We start from the raw sequence: 21,004 nt of genomic DNA, 5'->3' as shown, positions 1-21,004 counted from the left end.
ACAAAAGATTTGGTGGAGACACAGATCCCAGCCATGTCACAGGTTAAGAAGGATGAGGGTGGTACTGGCAAGAAAGGCCTCTCTGATTAAATGCATTTGAGCACTTAAGCAGAGGACTGCAAGAAGCAAGGGAGTGAGCTACGCAGATGGGAGAGGAGAGAGAGGAATGAGGACAGGAGGGAATATTACGGGAGGATGGATGACACGATGCCCTGAGCTGGAAACACACTGCAAGGAAGCCAGAGTGGCTGGAGCAAAGGCAGAGTGGTGGAAGCAAGAGTAGTCAGAGAAGAGTGAAAAAAAAGGGAGGCTGAGGCAGTCGGCAGTTAATGGAGGGGCTTGGAGGATCTGTAGACTTTATTTACTTATTTATTTATTTATTTAGAGACAGAGTCTTGCTCTGTTGTCCAGGCTGGAGTACAGTGACACAATCCCAGCCCACTGCAACCTCTGCCTCCCGGGTTCAAGTGATTCTCCTGCCTCAGCCTCCCAAGTAGCTGGGATTACAGGCATGCACCACCACACCCAGCTAATTTTTGTATTTTTAGTAGAGACGGGGTTTCGCCATGTTGGCCAGGCTGGTCTTGAACTCCTGACTTCAAGTGATCTGCCCCCCTCAGCCTCCCAAAGTGCTGGAATTACAGGCATGAGCCACTGCGCCCAGTCATCTATAGACTGTAAATTATACTCTGAGTTGCAAAGACACTGAGGCTCTTGAGCAGAAAATGACCTATTCAAGACCAGTTTGAACAGGATCTTTCCTGCTGTGTGAAGAAAAGGCCTTAGGAAGTAAATGTAGAAGGCAGGGAGGCCAAATGGAAGTTATCACAACCATCTGTGGAAGAGATGATGGTGAACAGACCCAGGGTTATTGAAGCAGAGTTTTTGAGAAGTGGCGAAATATTGGGTATATTCAAACCCAAAAAGCCCATAGTTTTTCCTGTTTGATTACATGAAGAGGGTAAGAGACAGAAAGGGACCAAAAATGACTCCAAGGATTTAGGCCTGAGGAACAAGAAGAACAAAGATATCATTTGCAAAATAGGAAACTTTAAAGTAAGTGTAGGTTGGGTGGGCTGGAAACCAACTCTTTGTTTTTGGATGTTGCTATGATTTGGATAATGGTGTCTTCTTCAAAAATCATGTGGAAACTCAATCCCTAATGCAACAGCATGAAGACATGTGGCCTTTTGGGAAGTGATTGAGTCTTGAGGGTTCCACCCTCATGAATGGGTTTAGCACCATTATAAAAGGTCTCAAGGGGAAGGAAGAACTCTCTTGCCCTCCTAGTCTTCCACTATGTAAGGACACAGTGTTCCTCCCATCTGGAGGATGCAGCAACAAGGCGCCATCTTGGAAGAAAGAGCAGCCCTCACCAGACACCAAACCTGCTAATGCCTTGATCTTGGACTTCTCGGTCTTCAGAACTGTGAGAAATAAATTTCTATTATTTATAAATTACCCAGTCTGTGGTGTCCTTTTAATATCAGCACAAAAACAGATGTGTTTGTTTGATGAGGTGACTGTTAGATTCCAGTTGAAAATTTCATGTAGGCAGTTTGGTTTATAAATCTGAGTTCGGGGGAGACGTCCAAGCTGGAGCAATCCATTTGGACCTGTCAGCATATTGGTGTATTTCAAGCCAAAGGACTCAATGTGATCACTTAAGATGTAAGTATGGAAAGAAGAAAAAATGTAATCCAGACAGAAGGATATGTCTTAAAATTATATAATCAATAATATTAGAAACAAGATGAAGAAGCAGAAGCTGTATAGTAGAATGGTTAGGCATAGTCACTCCCAGCATTAGGTTAACCCATGACTCTAAGTTATTAGAGTTAGGTCAGTATTCTAGGACTCTTTTCTTAGCTATGGCCTGTGCTAGATTTCCATCAATATTTTGATGATCATATAAAAGATGTGGTTTTCAAATTGGCAGATGACACAAAGAAAGAAGGAATATAATAAAATGTATTACAAAATTTAAAATTACTGAATACTTTGAAACAACAAGCAAAGCCAACAAGATTAACGTCAACAAGCATAAAAGTAAAATTCCAAACCTAGGTCCAAAAGGAAAATATTGCAGGCCAGGTTCCATGGCTTATGCCAGTAATCCCAGGACTTTGGGAGGTGGAGGCAGGATGATAGCTTGAGGCCAGGAGTTCAAGATCAGCCTGGGCAACATAAATTATTCTGTAATGGTGGAAGTCAGATTAATGATTGCTTCTGGTGGTGAATGGGGATGAGGAGATTGATTAGGAAGAAGCATAAGGGAACTTTGTAGGGTGATGGAAATGTTTTTTGTCTTGCCGGGGAAGGTACATAAGTGTATACATTTATCAAAATTGATCCAACTGTCCCTTAAGATCTGTATATTTCATTTTACGTAAATTATTACTCCATTTTCAAAAAAAAAAAAAAAAAGAAGAATGGCCCCAAAAGAAAATGTGTAGATGCTGAGGATGTTTAGTTGTGAGAAAAATAAATAAATTCAAGGGCAGCAGAAGTTTCATATACTAAAGTCTGTTATATGAACAAGGAATGAGACTTACTCTACATTGTTCTGCAAAATAACACTCAACTGTAAACTCCATTTCTAAGTTGCAGACACCTCTACTACATATTGATGTATTTGTATATACACACCAATATACCACGGAATACCCATCAGCCATAAAAAGGAACAAAATAATGGCATTTGCAGCAACTTGGAGTTGGAGACCATTATTCCTTTTTTTGTTGTTTTTTGTTTCTTAAACAATGTCTCGCTCTGTCACCCAGGCTGTAGTGCAGTGGCACAATCTCGGCTCACTGCAACCTGTGCCTCCCGGGTTCAAGCGATTCTCCTGCCTCAGCCTCCTGAGTAGTGCCACCATGCCCAGCTAATTTTTGTATTTTTAGCAGAGACAGGGTTTCACCATGTTGGCCAGGATGGTCTTAATCTCTTGACCTCCTGATCTGCCCATCTCAGCCTCCCAAAGTGCTGGGATTACAGGCGTGAGCCACCACGCCTGGCTGGAGACAATTATTCTAAGTGAAGTAACTCAGGAATAGAAAATCAAATATTGTATATACTCATTTATAAGTGGGAGCTAAGCTATGAGGATGCAGGGGCATAAGAATAATATAATGGACTTTGGAGACTCAGGGAGAAGGGTGGGAAGGGGGGTGAAGGATAAAAGCCTACACAATGGGTATAGTGTATACACAGTGGGTACACTGCTTCGGTGACAGGTGCACCAAAATCTCAGAAATCACCACTAAAGAACGTATCTGTGTAACCAAAAACCACTTGTTCCCCAAAAACTATTGAAATTAAATAAAAATTAAAAAGTAAATAAAAAATTTTAAAAACAAAATAGCAGACTGCCTCATACATAAGAGTAGGTATTATAAAATTTTTGTATGTTTTATTTTTAAAATCACATATACATATTTATGTGTGTACTAAGCACAATGAAAATGTATGTCTTATTATAGGTATGGTCAGAAATGTATGAAAGTCACTAAGCTAAATTATCTTAACAGTGTTTTAAAATATTATAAAACTCGTTATACCTGAATGACGAACTTAATTGAGAATAAGTGACAGTAAGTAACTCTTTTCTAAAGGAAAACAAATGCTTTAAATTAGATACCAATGACTTTTATGGGATCATCTCCTATTTGAGAAGATATCAGTTTTTTGCCTCATAGTTTTTTTGCTTTCTATATGTACTTTTTGGTACTCCACCAAATCAGCAACATCTGATTGAGAAAAAAGGTTAAATCTTCACATCTTGCTAATGTTGTGTATAACTTAGATTCATTCTTTCCTGACATTTCTGTTAAAGATACAGTTCTTTCCAGAAAGAATCCATTTACATTTATATTTCTGTTACATGAAAAAAACTTTTTTTTTTGTAAAGCCAAGTGAAATAGAAAATATGTAGGTATGGAATCTTTCTAAATTTATTTTCATAGAGGTAGTCTTAGCAATTTACACAAATTTATTTTCTTAGGAAGGAAATAGGATGAATAGTGATCCTCCACCCTACATCTCATAATTTATACCTGACTGATCCTTGCACTGCTTCTGAACCAGTCTCCTCCCTTCACTGAAAGCCACCTATGCACCCAGGGAGCTGAGTGCACAAAGGAGGGAATGGTCCAGGTGTGGGACCTAGAAGGATGCGTAGGAGCCCATGGAGTGAGGAACTAGAGGCACCTGGGTGAAAGCTCATAAGCATGTAAAAGTATTAACCTGTTTACTGAAACAGGTGATTCAGTTAAAATGAGGCTAGGAGGATGGGTCCTAATTCAATTTGACTGGTGTCTTTATAAGAAGGGGATATTTGGACACACAGAGACACCACAGGTGCAAGTGCACAGAGGAAAAGCCATGTAACGACACAGTGAGAAGGTAGCCATCTGCAAGCCAAGCAGAGAGGCCACAGAAGAAACCAGACCTGCTGATGCCTTGATCTTAAGCCTTTAGCCTCCAGAACTGTGAGAAAATAATTTCTGTTGTTTAAAGCACACACAGCCTGTATAACTTTGTTATGGCAGCCCTAACAAACTAATACACTTCCAATGAAAGCTTTGTTACTATCCCATTTTACGGAGAGCAAACAACTTACCTGACTGAGGTCATTGAGCTCTAAGCATTGGGACAGTTTGAGCACGGCTTTCTTCACACCACTCTATCATTCTTACCTTCAGTTCTCTACCAACCCTATCCGGATCACTGATAAGGTGGGAAGGAACTGGAAAAGTTTCACTAGAGTCCAAAGTCAAGCTGGCCCAGTGCGGTAGCTCATGGCTGTTATCCCAGCACTTTGGGAGGTTGAGGCAAGAGGATTGCCTGAGCCCAGGAGCTCAAAACCAGCCTGGCAACATAGTGAGACCTCATCTTTACAAATAATAGAAAATTTAGCCAGGTGCCTGTAGTCCCTACTACTCAGGAGGCCAAGGCAAGAGTATCACCTGAGCCCAGGAGGTTGAGGCTGCAGTGAGCCATGATTGTGCCTCTGTATTCCAGCCTGGGCAACAGAGCAAGACCCTGTCGCAAAAAAAAAAAAAAAAAAAAAAAGGTCAAGACCAAGGCAATCCTTTGGCGATATTCACAGACTAAGACTTGGCACATTAGATAGATACCTACAGTCACATACACTTTTCTACTTTCCTGCTAAGAAAAGGCTCTGAATCTCATGTAGGTTTTTTCTCCTCTTAATCAAAGCAGGTGGAATTAGAGTCACAGATTTTCACTAAAACTTTGCTTCAATAAATTGTGGTTAATTAGTAAGATTTGCTGCTTCAACATGGGTGATCAGAGATTTGAAATAGCTCAGAGATGAATAGTCAAATTATATATATATATTAATTTTTCACAAAAATGATTCCTCTTCCTTGCAGATTTCACGTTATTCCAGGCCCAAGCACAAGTATTAAGCTAATAAGCAGCGATTCATTTCTATGAGATGGGCAATTTCCCCTCATTTCTGATGATTTATTATTTCGATCTCGATTTTTAAATATATGTTATCATATTAAATGCTGGGGAAATCACATTTTGCCTCTACTACTGCATTACCAGAAACGGGAGAAACTTTAATAAAAGTTCTGTTGCGCCACCTAGTGGCGTGCATTAGAATCGCATCCTTTAGAAACAGCCCCCAGTTCAGTAGGAAACCAGAGACCCAGAGATACCAAAATTGAAATGTAGGTACTACAGTCCGACAAGGAAGGCACAATATGTCTATTTGCTGCTCTGGTAATTATGCAGAACCCATCCCAACAGGACACCTCACTGGGATCTTTGACTCATTGTTTGCGATTCTGTGGCAAAGAGAGCCTGCAAAGGCTGTGACTTCTGTGGACGGAAGGATGAGAAGGAAGTGTTTTGTGTGTGAGTGACAGACTGAGCCAAGAAGAGAACCGGAATGGCAGCATGCTTTCTAGCACTCACATGCAGATCCCCAGCAGTGACATCCTACTTATCTGATATGTCATCACATATTTACTCCACAGGGCCTGAAATCAGAACGTGAGAGTGAGACTACAGTGAGACTTGTGTTTCATTTCTACCAACTTTATTTTTACCCTAATGGTATTAGAAATGAAGTATTGTTGCTAGACTTTTAAAAAATATTTTGAATAGTGAGTTTATAATCTAAATGAACTCCATTCAACTATACATCCTCAGCAGTTGACCTGTCTAAAGCACTGAGCCAGACATGGAGGGCTACTGCCCAGCTACTGCAGCCATGTTGTTTCTGCCCTCTGGAGCCCTCCGATAGGGAGGGGAGATACTAAATAAATGAGATAACATACTTGGTTGTAAGGGACTCAAAACATATGAAGCACTTATATCAGTACCTGGCATATAGTAAATTACATAGTTATTATTAAATGGAGAAATAAAACTGATGCAACCATGTGGGAGTTTCTACACAGGTAAAATCAGATTCTTCCTGTGGCCCTGCCTGATCATAGAAAAATTGATTAGATCAGGGGTCCCCACCCCAGGGCCACAGATCAGTGCCAGTCGGTGGCCTGTTGGGAACCGGGCAGCAAAGAAGGAGTTGAGTGGTGGGTCAGTGAGAGCAGCTTCATCTGTATTTACAACCACTGCTCATTGCTGGCATTACCACCCAAGCTCCGCCTCCTGTCAGATCAGCAGTGGCATTAGATTCTCATAGGAGCAGAACCCTATTGTGAACTATGCATGCGGGGATCTAGGTTGCACTTGCCTTATGAGAATCTAATGCCTGGTAATTCCTCACTGTCTCCCATCACCCCCAGATGGGACTGTCTAGTTGCAGGTAAACAAGCTCAGGGCTCCCACTGATTCTACATTATGGTGAGATGTATAATCGTTTTGTTATATATTACAATGTAATAATAAATAGAAAGAAAATGCACAATAAATGTAATGTGCTTGAATCATCCCGAAACCATCCCCATAACTGCCCATCAGTGAAAAAATTGTCTTCCACAAAACTGGTCCCTGGTGCCAAAAAGACTGGGGACTGCTGGATTAGTTTCATCCTCAGAGTTCCGTCTAACTCATGACTTCCCACTTTGACCCAAACTCCTAGAAAATTAGAACTATTGCCAATTTTCAGAGAAAGTTTGACGAAGATGATTTTTACTAGTGTTGCAAATATTGACTGTAAGTTTAGGTCTAATATTACTTAGAAGTAATATTAAAAATTATGACATCACAGCACTTTGCAAATTTTTTATCACATTTGACTTTGCTGGTCCCAACAGCTACCAATCAGTATCATGCCTCGCATAGTCAATGGCATGAAGAACTGAATTCAGAATTCCCTGCCCTAGTCATATCACCTATAACTTACTTGTTTAATGAGAATGGGGTTTAAGGTAGAACAAAGCACGTCTTTTTGTAATAAGCAGGCTGAGATGGAAAAAGCCCTGAAGACCATTGCTTATACTTGGGAGTGACTTAAATTCACAGTGAGTTATAAAATACTGATGCTATCTTAAGTTCTGTTTCAAAGAAAGCAGAAATGAGCCTAGAAATGGAGAAATTCTATAGGACTAAGAGGGTACGCATTCCAAGGAAACATTTTACCAACTTTACAATTGTATTCGGAGCTTGCCATTATTAAAAGTGGAATTTCCTGGGTACAAGAACCACCATCTAACCTATGGCTCTGTTGTGAATCAAAATAACATTTCTCCCAACTCCATTCAAATCTCTAATATCCTCATTCAAATCGGTAACACAGCTATACAGCACTGAATTTCTCATTGTCCAAAATGGAATAATTTCTAACAGCTTCATTCTATATGTCAGCCCATTTTTATTTACCATCCAACATGCCCTAAACCCTGATGAGACACTAAGGATACAAGAGTGAATAATACAAACACTTTGATCTCAAGTTGCTCCAAGTGTAGATAAAAACACACACTCTGGTGATACTCTTCCTCCAATACCTACCGCATGTGTGACCTTAGAGAAAGTCGACAGGCTTCCTGGGACTCCAGTTCTTATCTAAAAGCCAGGAGTGATGACCATATATTCATTAATGCCAGGCATCAGTGGGAGGCTGGAAGAATTAAACAGGTAAGGATAAGACAGTAAAACATAGTATAAATATTATGTACTAATATAATGTTAATGTTGATACTTTCTCAGTTACTCTCACTTTATAGAAAAAAGAGACATTTACAAAGCAATCCTGTCTTTTCATACATCAGAAAATTTCCTAACTGTAAACAAAATGGAGCTGGGTTGCCGAGAGAAAAAGCCCCAGGATGTAATTCTTTTTAATCACACAATAATGAAGCAATGTATATCTCAAGAAAATAATCATTTTCTGGAGGAAAAAAAAGAATAATAATAGTTCTCAAACACATTATAAAATATAATGACATCATAATGCAAACTTTATTTCACTAGGCCTAAATCCAAATAAGAAAGATTTAGTCCTAAACCAAAGCTGCCCCAAAGCTAGTGGCATCTTTTCATAAAGTAATCATTAGGGGACAGGATCACTTAATTGGTGAAACTTAAATTCTAAGTTTTTACTATATACAGCTGCTAAATTCAGTTTGCATGACTTGATCCATGTGCTATCCAAGTATGTTAATAAAAAGTCATATTTAGATTGGTTCAAATGTTTTTCTCTGAGAAAATCCAAGCCGTCAGCTGAAAGCTATCGATGTAAGTGCTTGTGTGTATTCCTGCCAAGAAAAGTGCTAATTGTTTGCTTATCTATGTTCAGGCTTGTCTCCTAGGTTGGTCTCACGTTTCCCATTGATCCGACTTCCTTCACTGCTGCTATCTGTCCCTGAGCCCACCTAAAGGATAAAAGGGGAAAGAAGGCTAAACACATTTCTCCACAAAGGGAGACACTTATTTTCTTAAAATTTAAAATTAATAAAAATGAAAGTTGAAGTTTCATCAGTTCTCCCCAAACCCATTCTCCTTCCTCCCTCCCTAAGGTGGCCACTAAGATGACCCTCATCTGAGGATATCCCGCCACTCCTCATCTTCACCATTTTACTTTATGGTCATATAAACATAAACTGGTAGTAGTGTGTTTAGATTTTTGTAGGTGGAATCATACTGAATATATTCTATATTCAGACCACACTATTGGTTGAGTTTAATCATATATTTAAATATATATAGTTTATTTTAATCTTTATTTTCATTTTTTAGTCAATTAATTTATTTTTTTAAGACAGGGTCTCACTCTGTCACCCAGGCTAGAGAGTAATGGTGCAATCTTGGCTCACTGCAACCTCCGCCTCCCAGGTTCTAGCGATCTTGTCACTTCAGCCTCCCAAGTAGCTGGGATTACAGTCACGTGTCACCATGCCCAGCTAATTTTTGTATTTTTAGTAGAGATGGGGTTTTGCCATGTTGGCCAAGCTGGTCTCAAACTCCTGAGCTCAAGCAATCCACCCACCTCAGCCTCCAAAATCTGGGATTACAGGTGTGAGCCACCACACCCGGCCGATCTGTAGTTTATTTTAACTACTTTGTGATATTCCAATCTACAAATATTCAATATTTTATCTGCCCATAGATTGACAGTACGTTGTTTCCAATTTTTTCAGTATTGAAAAAAATATAGTCTACCCCATGGTATCCACAGGGGATTGGTTCCAGGACCCCTGAGGAAACCAAAATCTGTGGCATAGTATTTGCATATCACCTACCCACATCCTCCTGTATACTTTAACTCACTATAGATTACTTATAGTACCAAATGCAATGTAAATAGTAGTTATACCGTATTTTTCGTTTGTATTTTGTTATTGTGGTATTGCTATTTTTTTTCTGAATATTCTCCATCCACAGTTGTTTGAACCCGTGGAGGTGGAATCCATGGATACGGAGGCCAACTGTGCTGCCACATTTTTAGGATTTCCTCTCATTTGGTCTTGGGTTCTGTCTTGGGAGAGTGGCTGTACTCCAGCCTTGCCCTCACGGGGTTCCAGAGGATGAGTGGTGGCTGTTCACAGTGTGCCTTTCATGGGATACTTCTTGATCCCGGTTGGCAACCTCATGCCTAGGTGGTCGACCATGAACAGACATTTCTTTCACAGGGAATTTGTTTATATTGGCCGATGCCGTTGTGGCTTTCGTCTGACCCGTGTCCAGTTTATTCCTATAAGATAGCCACTCCCTAGGAAAACCCTCTACTGGAAAAAAAAGTTAGGTTTGGATATGTCAGTCAGGCGAGACACAGAAGCAGCAGCACAACAAAACCCATGAAGTAATAGAAGCATTTTCATTACCTACAGATCCCAGACAGAAAAGGGCAGCACGCCTCACAGGGCCAATGGGAAGGGGTAACACTCGTGCTCAACCAGTGGGGAGAGAGAGAGAATGGGCCAAAGCCTTTTTGGGATCCAGGGTGTTACCCAGGGAGGTTTCCCAGGGGAAGTTCTAACAGGTTGGTTTACAGCAAGCAGACATGAGTTCCATGGGGCCTTGCTGTGACTGACAGGTAGTTACTGTGGAATATCTGCTCGTCTACGTGGGCTCTGGGGGTCAGTGGGGCAATTCTAGTCAATTGCATCCAGCTGTACCATAGAGCGGTGGTCACCAGGAGGCAGTGGTATAAAGCAGGTATCTGGATCAACCACACTGAGGAACTGGGAAGAGGTAGAGAACTGGAAACCTTGTCAAGTGTGACTGATCCCACTTCCAGTATGAGAAAGTTAAACTTATATTCAAAATTGGTGCCAAGGCAACATAAAATTATAAGAATTTACTATACACACACATATTTGTGTGTGTGTATATATACATATATTCTGATTACTGTGGCAGTATTTCTATTTTATATGTATATAATTATATATAAATTGTATATAATTTTTATAATATATATTTTATATTATATATTATATGTACATATTATATATACATATATAATTTTTATATTATATATGTACTTATATGAAATCAGAATTACTGCCACAGGAAAACAATATTTAAAATCACTAATATTTCCCATGAATATAACTTAATATAGTTGGGAATTTTCATCAAAATACATTCTGATAGGAGTTGTTCAAGGAATAAAAATTTCATTTTTGATTTACAAATTATAATTAAAACCTTAAAAATTAGTGCCAAAAATTAAAATTATTTATATGAAAACGAATATAAGTGGGTCTTTTGAGATCTTCTATTTCTGATCATTTACAATGTAAATCTTCTCCATGGACATGAGTGACTGAGAGTTACCTTCATTGCAGAAATATTCCAGACATGTACATGTTCAAGAACTTCCAAGCATATTTCAAGTGGATTTTCTTTACCATATCAAAGACACAAATTTTCTTTAGTGGAGAAGATCCAAAAATCAATCCAAAGTCTATTTGCCTTTTTCTAAGTGAGTTTTAAATGAATCAGAATACCAATTTCTGAAGTGAAATTATTCCAAAATGATGACAGCATTTAAAGAAATTAAGCACTTGGGACATTTATTTAATTTTTAGTAAAAAAGAACCATGCCTTTTAGAAAAAAAATTATGTTTGTAATTTGCTTTAGCAAATATGGTAACCTATCAGACATAGTAGGACTAAAACAAATATAAATAAAACGTGTATACTTTGCACAAAGCAAATACATAGCAGCCAAAGAAAAGGTAAATTTCCCTCTGCATAAAAGGGGCTTTGTGCATCTTTGCAAATACAAATCATCCTCATCCTCAAATGATTCAAATTTTGTTACCCAAATGAGCACTTTCCTGGTGCTTCCCATCTCTCCCATCCCACTCCCAAGCAAAATTAACTCTCTTTATCTTATAAGTTTTATGGATATTTGTGGAATGTTTTATGACATGATTATCTTCTACCATCAATTACAGCTTTTCTGCTTACTTACAAGATCACCCCAACTAGACTTACTTTCTTTCATCTTTAATTCCTCCAAGGTTATCATACAAAGCCTTGCTCAAAACAGCTTCTCATCAGTATTTGTTAGACTGTATTAAGAAGATATGTCTTCTGGCCTTGGCCTTTTTTTCTATCCTAGAGAAGCAAAAGCTATACTTTCTGAAGTGATTTTTAAAAATTCTAACAGCACATTCATCTGAATGCTTCTCACCAATGGCTACTTGGAGATACTTCAATCATAAATTATTAGCTTGCCTTATCAGTCAAGCAACCCTGAAGTCTAAATTTCATATGGATCTAGGTCAAGTGTCTGCTACTGAAGCTGTTACAGAAAACTGGTGATTGCTAAAGGAATGATTGTCTGATCCACAAATTGGAAGCAGACCCTTTGCTTCTCCTTTCTCTGCCACTGACTCTACAATTAGTTCACAGCAAAATCATAATTCCCTCAAGGGGTGGACAGGACCACCCACAAGAGGAAAGCTGTTACATGTTAGCAGCTCTGAGAGAAAATGAAAAAATATATATTTGTTGAAAGCAAAAGATTCAAAACTACTATGTAAGTGAGTTTTTTGTAGCACCTAAAGATTTTTTTTAGCTCATATAGATATAGTTATTTAAACAGATGACAAATACAGACCTATAGCCAAACAGTGTTTCTTACACTATTAAAGTGAATATGAACAATCATTCACTCAACAGATATTGCTTTTGTATCTATTGTGTACTTTTTTTTTCCCTGCCTTAAGAAGATAATTGAGTTGGAGAAGAAAGATAGACCAGCCTGCAAGGTTAAATAATAATATCTAACAATGGTGTGAAACATGTTTTAAGAAAGAAAAATATCTAGCAAAGATTTTGATCTATGTTGGTCCTAATATACTAACAATCTATTATTAGTATATTATCATTAATAGCTATCATTAAGTACCACATTAAGTTTTTGTTATAAGTACCATTTTTATCCCCATTTTACAGGTTAGGAAACTGAGGATGAGAGGTTACGTAGCAATATGTAGTAGAGACAGGATTCACACCCAAGTCTATCTGAGCAAGATCTAAATTCTTGCCATTATACTATAGGTATTTTTTTTCTAAATTTTGAGTCATGACATGTCCATAGCCATTGGCAGTTAATATTTTTATGCTAATGCAGACAATATATATTACTGTTTATTTTCATTGAGTTTTGAATTCATTTGGAATATTGGCCTTTAGTTGTTTCTATAAGAATTATTTTTCTTTTTATATAGGGTTGTGATACACAGATGATTTATGACATGTTGCTAAGATTGAAATCCGTTCTCTATTTGCCTGGTGACTTTGTCTGCAAAAAGGTGAGTGCATGCTATTTTTCAAATGCACAACTAATAAATGCATTTGAGGATTTCGGACATAAGTCAAGAACATTGTTTAAACAAAATTTGTTCAGGGTGAATTCCATAGTATAGAAATAATTATGATATATAGCTCTGTACAGCAATAACGTGCTCTCAGAGTTCACAAAGGAACAAGACAATATGGATTTCATTACTTATATTATAGGATAGAAGTGTGGGTAGTCTGAGAAACTGCTCTGTTTAAATGTTAATTATCAATCGTCACAGCTTATTAATTTCAAATATTTAAAGTGGAGGAAAAAGTTACAGAAGCGATAGGTGGTTCAGCCTTTTTTATGTCTTCGGCAAAATATCAGTTACCTTCATTTTGCTCTCCCAAGTAGTGAATAATCAATGCCACATTTTAAAAAACTGTACTGTGCTTTTTATGATTACAAAATAATGCATGTTCATTATTTTAAAATAGAAAACACATAAAAACATAAGGACATAAATACCACCATCCAATAATAACCACTCTTCATATATTTTGGCCTATCTTTTTATACTGACTGATGGATAGATAAAGCTTGTGCTATAAAAGTGGCATCATACTGTACATATGTTCTGAAACATGTTTTGTCATGTAACAATATATCATATGAACACTATGTATTAAGTAATCTACAATATGATTTTTTAAAGCTGCATGATGTTTCAGTCTATGGATGTATCAGGATCAATTTTCAAATGTTTGCTATTATAAATAAAAAGAACATCCCCTCAGATAAATATTTTTGCATATTTCTGATCACTAACTTAAGGGAGAGGAAAGGAATGATGACCCTGGGATTTATATCATGACAGACTCAACCAAAGATAAACTCAATAATCAAAATTTAAAAAGAAAAATGAGTAGTTCAAAAAATGCAAGATGATCCAACACCTTGGTGAGTTCACAAGCGAACAAAGATGAGAGGCACTTTTATCATTTCAAAATAATGTGTTAAATGCTATGGTCAAAGCAAGCACACGCTGTTGTAAGACACAAAGGAGGGGCACCTGTCCTTCCTGGTTACGGTAAGATTTCCTAGAGAAGATGATGTCTGAGCTAAGTCTTGAAAAATGAATTGGAGTACACCAAGTAAAAGAGGAAATAGGTGTTCTGGGTAGAGGAAAGAATGTGAGCTAAGGCAAAAAGGAAGGAACTGTGTCTATAGAGGGAGTGCAGAGAACTATAATAAGGTAAATGTTAGAACAATTTTAGAATGATTTATTCCACAAAACTCAGTAAATATTTCTCAATATGATGAGCCAGAAACAGTGGAGGGCACTGAGCAAAAAAAAGATGGTTCTTGTCCTTTAGGGGCCTACCTTTCTAGTGCTGTGGTATTCAATTCACAGTGCACATCAGAATCACCTGAATGAAGACGTCTGGGCTCCACCCCTCAGTGACTGATTTGGTCTAGATGGAGGCCATATACCAGTATTATTTAAAACTCCTATATCATTCTAAAATGCAGCCAAAACTGAGAACCACTGGCTTCATGCGAGAGACAAGCTATAAACAAGTGAAATTAAGTCAATACATAATTCCAAAATGTGCTAAGTTGTATAAAGGGAAAATAGAAGTTGCCAGAAGAGTATGTAGTGGCAAAGACACTTAATTTAGATCCAGGGTTGGGAGATGGGGAGGTTATTAGGTTGTCAGGAGTGACCTTTGAAAAATCTAAAGATAAATAGTTCTTTAGTTTAAAAAAAAAATGTGGACAGGATGGCATTTTTTATGAAGACTTGGAGCCATGAGCTGAGAGGCAAGATGGAGCTTGGCATATCCAAGGAACGGAAGCAAGTGAGTGATGGAGACTGTGGTGAACGACAAAGTCAAATGGAGTATGAGGTACTTCAAGGCATCAGGTGGAGATGCCAAGTACACAGTGAAAATCAGTCTAATGAGAGAGGATGGAACTGGGGTTTACTGGGAACTGTAATATAAAGGAAGCAGACTTCAAGAAAAGCTCAAGGAAAGGTCAGAGAAGAGGGCCTTGCCTCTAACTTTGAAGAGCTCTAGTGTTTGAAGAGATCAATGAAGAAAAGTCAGAGAGAGCAACTGAGAATGAGCTTTCAGAGATGAAGGGGGAAAATGGAAGAGAGATTATGATAAAATGGGAAGCAAGAATATACAATCCCACACAAATTAGTCCAAGTTAAAAGAAGGCAGATTGGTGATATGAAATCAATTTTATTGAAATGGGAAATACAAGCCATAGTGCAGTCCAAGAACCCCTTGGGGGCAGTGGTGTACTGAAATGACATGACTTTAATGCACCACAACATGTCCTTTCATTTGGGGCCAGTAGCAACAGAGATTGAAAACTGTGATAACTCACATAAACTCTAGCACCTGTGCCCCTAAGCAGTGCAAATTTGTTTAACAAAGTATGAAATGCAGAGTAGATGCAGCCTTTTCATTTCTAATTTCTTCTTCACATCACATTCATCACTCAATAACAAAAACATCAGTGGAGACAAATAAGGCAGGAAAAGGAATTAAGTAGGTGGGAGAGTGCAGGGACCAGCCCCACAGGGTCGGTGGGCTTCTCCCTGTGTGCGGCGATGAGAGAGTGTAGAAATAAAGACACAAGACTAGGAGATAGAAGAAAAGACAGCTGGGCCCGGGGGACCACTACCACCAATGCGCGGAGACCGGTAGTGGCCCCGAATGTCTGGCTGTGCTGTTATTTATTGGATACAAAGCAAAAGGGGCAGGGTAAAGAGTGTGAGTCATCTCCAATGATAGGTAAGGTCACGTGGGTCACATGTCCACTGGACAGGGGTCCCTTCCCTGCCTAGCTGCCGAGGCAGAGAGGGAGAGGAGACAGAGAGAAAGACAGCTTATGCTATTATTTCTGCATATCAGAGACTTTTAATACTGTCACTAATTTACTACTGCTATTTAGAAGGCAGAGCTAGGTGTACAGGATGGAACATGAAGGCAGACTAGGAGCCTGACCACTGAAGCACAGCATCACAGGGAGACGGTTAGGCCTCCGGATAACTGCGGGTGAGCCTGACTGATGTCAGGTCCTCCACAAGAGGTGGAGGAGCAGAGTCTTCTCTAAACTCCCCCAGGGAAAAGGAGACTCCCTTTCCCAGTCTGCTAAGTAGCGGGTGTTGTTCCTTGACACTTTTTGCTACTGCTAGACCACGGTCCACCTGGCAACGGGCGTCTTCCCAGACGCTGGCGTCACCGTTAGACCAAGGAGCCCTTCTGGTGGCCCTGTCTGGGCATAACAGAAGGCTCGCACTCTTGTCTTCTGGTCACTTCTCACTGTGTCCCCTCAGCTCCTATGTCTGCATGGCCTGGTTTTCCCTAGGTTATGATTATAGAGCGAGGATTATTATAATATTGGAATAAAGAGTAATTGCTACAAACTCATGACTAATGATATTCATATATAATCATATCTAAGATCTATATCTGGTATAACTATTCTTATTTTATATTTTATTATACTGGAACAGCTTGTGTCCTCGGTCTCTTGCCTCGGCACCTGGGTGGCTTGCCGCCCACAGGAGAGTAGAAACAAGGAGACGCTAGAATGACAAGTCACATTTCTTTAAGAGTGGATTTACATGATAGTAGATATTGACAGAGAAGAAAGGCTGTTACTTGACAGGACTTGAGACAGCTGAAGTCAGCTTTGTTTTGCTTATCGTTTTCACAAAATATTGAAGGCAAGGGGAAGGAAAAAAATACGTTCAATTTGAGGTTATCTATATAATTTAAGAGATGACAGCATTTGGGGCCAAGTTTGCTGACCTACTTAATCCCCAGGATGGTTCAGAAATTGACTGAGTGGTAGCTTGGGCTGGTTGAAAGAGTGGGAGTTTTCTTCAGATGCTCTATGGCAGGGCAGAAATCACCTAGAGCTCTTGTTAAAGCACCAATTTCTGGGACCTCATTCCCAAAAATTCTGATTCATATTTCTGCAGTAAGAACTCTCAGTAAACTGAGAATTTGCACCTCTAAACAAGCTCCTAGTGATGCTGATGCTGCTGACCCAGGAACCACACTTTGAGTAGCACTGCTCTTTTCTGTTGGGGTGCCCTTGAGTGTCATAAAGCCCTCATGAGCCTTAGAAATAGCTTCCTACACAGAAACCCTGAAATTTTGAAGGGCGCTATCTCCAGGGGTTACCTCACTCTACATGAAGCTCTTGTTTTTTCATACTTTCTCCAAATTAGTCCACACGCTAACAACCAGAGCTTGGTTCAATCTTATTTTGCACATGCTGTCAGCCCTTATTCTCTGAGGAATGTCTACTTAATTTGAATGCTAATTAAACTTGCAGAAAAGGCTTAAATTAGCCTAGAAATATGCAAGAAATAGTGGAAGTTTTGGTTCGTTGATTATGCCAGATCTCCTTGGAAAATTATTGAAATGATCATTAAAAAATAATTAAAAGAGCTGAACTGTATTTAAGTACCCACTATGTACTTCTACCTCCAGTCAGTTGTAATAACTGCCTTTGAAAAATCATTCCAGTTCCTTGAGAATTACTTCACGCAAAGAATAAGGAATATGACCCTGTCCTCATCATTACTTCCTAAAGTATCTCTTGGAAAACTAATTTTCAGATATCTTTCCTTATTTTTTAATTCATTCATGGCTATTTCATTGGTTTTTAAGAGATCAGTTCTGATATTGGAGTCACCGTTAGATGTGGTCTGTCTTCATGTATTATATAGAGTCAGATGACATAGGTGCTGCTAGTTCTGGCGCTGTCACCTGCGAGCCTTATAAGTTTGCTCAAGACACTTAATTTTTTAAACCTCGACTGCCAATTGTTAAATAAGAGTAATGATACGTTTCCTACTTGACTTCACTCGGATTTTTGCAAGAATTAGATGAATTAATATCTATGAGATGCTTTACAGCTATAAAGTAGCATGTTCTGCTAGAACAAATATAGGAATTAAAATAAGGAGCTATGTAAATGTCAGATAATGTAATGATTTTTTAAAGTAATATGCAAAGACATGATATTGTTATTAGCATTAATAGTATGTAAATAAATATAAGATCCATCTATATTGGAATTTCTACTTTTATCTGTTTTTGAGTATAAATATATGCTTAATATTTTGCACAGGCCAGGTGCAGTGGCTCACGACTGTAATTCCAACACTTTGGGAGGCCAAGGTGGCAGGATCACATAAGTCCAGGAGTTCAAGACAAGCCTGGACAACATGGCAAAACCCTGTCTCTACAATAAATACAAAAATTAGCCAGGCATGGTGGCTTATGCCTGTGGTCCCAGCTACTCAGGAGGCTGAGGTGGGAGGATCACTTGAACCCAGGAAGCAGAGGTTGCAGTGAGCTGAGATCATGCCCACTGCACTCTAGCCTGGGGAACAGAGCAAGACCCTGTCTCAAAAAAAAAAAAAAAAAAAAACCAACCCCAAAATTTTAATTTAAAAATGTATTTTACACAATGCAAAACTTAAACGTATTTCTTGCATTGCTCAGTTAGGAGATGTGGGTTCTAGGCTTCCTTCGCTTCTAATTACCGAGTCATATAACTTTAGCTAATTGGCTAAGCCAATCTGTGCCTTTGTTTTAATTTTTGTAAAAAGGAAATAATAGTACTTACTCTACCTTCCTTATAAGAGTAATGGGGAGATAAAATAAGAATTTCAGCTTCCTGGATGTTAACTAAAAGGTGGAGTCTGATAACTTTAAACACAACCCAGCAATTATAAAGCAACAATAGTTGATGTTCAGGAAAATAAACCTAGGTGTAAGGAAAGACTTTAGAATCTCCCAGAGAATAGTTAAGTTATATTTTCCTCATTCATAAATGAGTGTTTCCTATATGTCAAGCCTGCGTTCAGCACTGCAACAAAGTAGACATTCTCTCAGCCATCTCAGAGAGTAAACTACAATCAATATTTTTTTCTTCCAAAGAATGATGTAGGCTAAATATTTTTAAAAATAAAAAATAAATCTTTTAATCTCGAGTTGATTTTAGTGTATTCTAATTCTTTCAAAGTATGGTTAATGAGAATATTTGATTAACTCAAATAACCCAGTCCCCTCCTAAGCCAAGTAAGTGAATTTATTGTATTAATGCTATTTTTTTTTATAGCTCAAGGTGATCAAGGCACTGCTCATTCAGACATGTAGGTACTACTAGCCAAATAGTTTGCCTAGTGTTATGCAATCTGGCCTATTTAGAGTTTAACAGCCTTTCTTGACCTAAGTGCCATTTAGGTCTCTTGTAAGACATCTATTCTTTTTGGAAGTTAGAGAAGATGTGTTCCAAGGGCCTCATAACCACCCACTAGTTTGGTGATTTACTTGTAAGAACTCATATAATTCAACATAAAGTTATATTTATGGCTTAAGATTTATTATAGCAAAGGATAAAATGCAAGAATAGCAAGAAAAAGATATACATGGGCAAACACGAGAGAAATCAGACACAGGCTTACTAGGTCCTATTTCTATGAGGGTCACATGGATGCATTTTTCTCTCCAGTGGACCACAGAAACATGAGCAAAATATCTCCACCGGTGGAAGCTCATATTAGTCTTGGGTCCAATGTTCTTAAATGGCGCATATAGCTGCATGACCAGACATGATTCAGACTTTCAAACTATGTACAAGGTACACATCATAAATCTTTGTGATTATATTAAATAGTGTTGACAGCCTGATACATCCTGCTATACTGGCTCAGGAATATAGAATAACACCATTAACCAGTGGCTATGTGAACATTCCAGGAGTTTAATTCTTAGGGCTTGAACAAAGATCATTGCCCTGGTCCCAAGAGTCCCCAAAGATAGGCAAGAACTGAGTAAAACAACCTGCTGCATTAATACTTTATCTCAGTATGGAATACTAATAATAACTCAAAGATCTCCTATGCCCCAATTCCCCAAATCAGACCTCAATGCCATGGGTAGATGAATAGAATTGACCTTTGAAAGGCTGCAGTCTATGCTCTTTGGCTAGACCAAGCAACTTCTTCCAAGCATAGTGGTGGTCATCAAAGCCAGGTTCGACCATGCTTAAAATCAATTACTTCCTCTACCCAGGGTCCTTCCTAAAGCAATGTGCTAACTGAAATATCTTCATGTATCCAAGGGAGGCAAACAGTACTCACGTGTTGAGAAGTATCATCTTCCTAATCATTTTCTTTCACATGATATGTTCAACCCATGTCTGTAAATACTTTAGGTCTTAAGATAATTAATTTTACACTAATGTTCTTTGCTTCCTTCATTTATATTTACTCCTCTAAAAGAATTTATATTTCTTAATTTACAGCATAATTATCAAGAATAAAGTAACTACCATTTCCTCTTTATATTTAAAATGTAGGGAGAAATTGGCAAGGAAATGTATATCATCAAGCATGGAGAAGTCCAAGTTCTTGGAGGCCCTGATGGTACTAAAGTTCTGGTTACTCTGAAAGCTGGGTCGGTGTTTGGAGAAATCAGGTATCTGAAAGATACTTCATAAATATTGAAGTCCATCATTTGTCATAAAAGAAAAGTCTTAGGTAGTAAAATAAGTTCCCGCTCAGATTTATCAAAGGTTTGATTGTGCTGAGAGCATTCGTAAAATAAGGATTTTCATATTTTTATTCATCCCTTCACCAAAGCGACCTAAGGAAAAGAACTGGGTCATTCAGCTCTTTAGTCCAGGACCTAGAGCAGTGCCTGGCGTAAAGCAGGTTCCCAGTATATGTTGAATGGATGTGCAAATGAATTAGTAAATGAGAGAAGAGGTTT

At 38.5% G+C, this 21,004-nt stretch overlaps 1 protein-coding gene across 2 annotated transcripts in view; it reads left to right on the top strand.

The window, feature by feature from the left end:
- CNGB3 (cyclic nucleotide gated channel subunit beta 3) overlaps positions 1-21,004 on the top strand; it is a 169,456-nt gene that overhangs the window by 118,832 nt on the left and 29,620 nt on the right. For both annotated transcript variants that reach the window (NM_019098.5, XM_011517138.3), the window contains 2 exons: positions 13,132-13,215; positions 20,592-20,710. In NM_019098.5, coding sequence (NP_061971.3) covers positions 13,132-13,215; positions 20,592-20,710 — 203 coding nt within the window. The remainder of the gene's footprint in view (positions 1-13,131; positions 13,216-20,591; positions 20,711-21,004) is intronic.

This window comes from Homo sapiens, chromosome 8 (genome assembly GCF_000001405.40).
Source record: "Homo sapiens chromosome 8, GRCh38.p14 Primary Assembly".
In the NCBI taxonomy this organism is placed as follows: Eukaryota; Metazoa; Chordata; class Mammalia; order Primates; family Hominidae; genus Homo; species Homo sapiens.
This window is presented reverse-complemented; position numbering and strand designations above follow the sequence as displayed.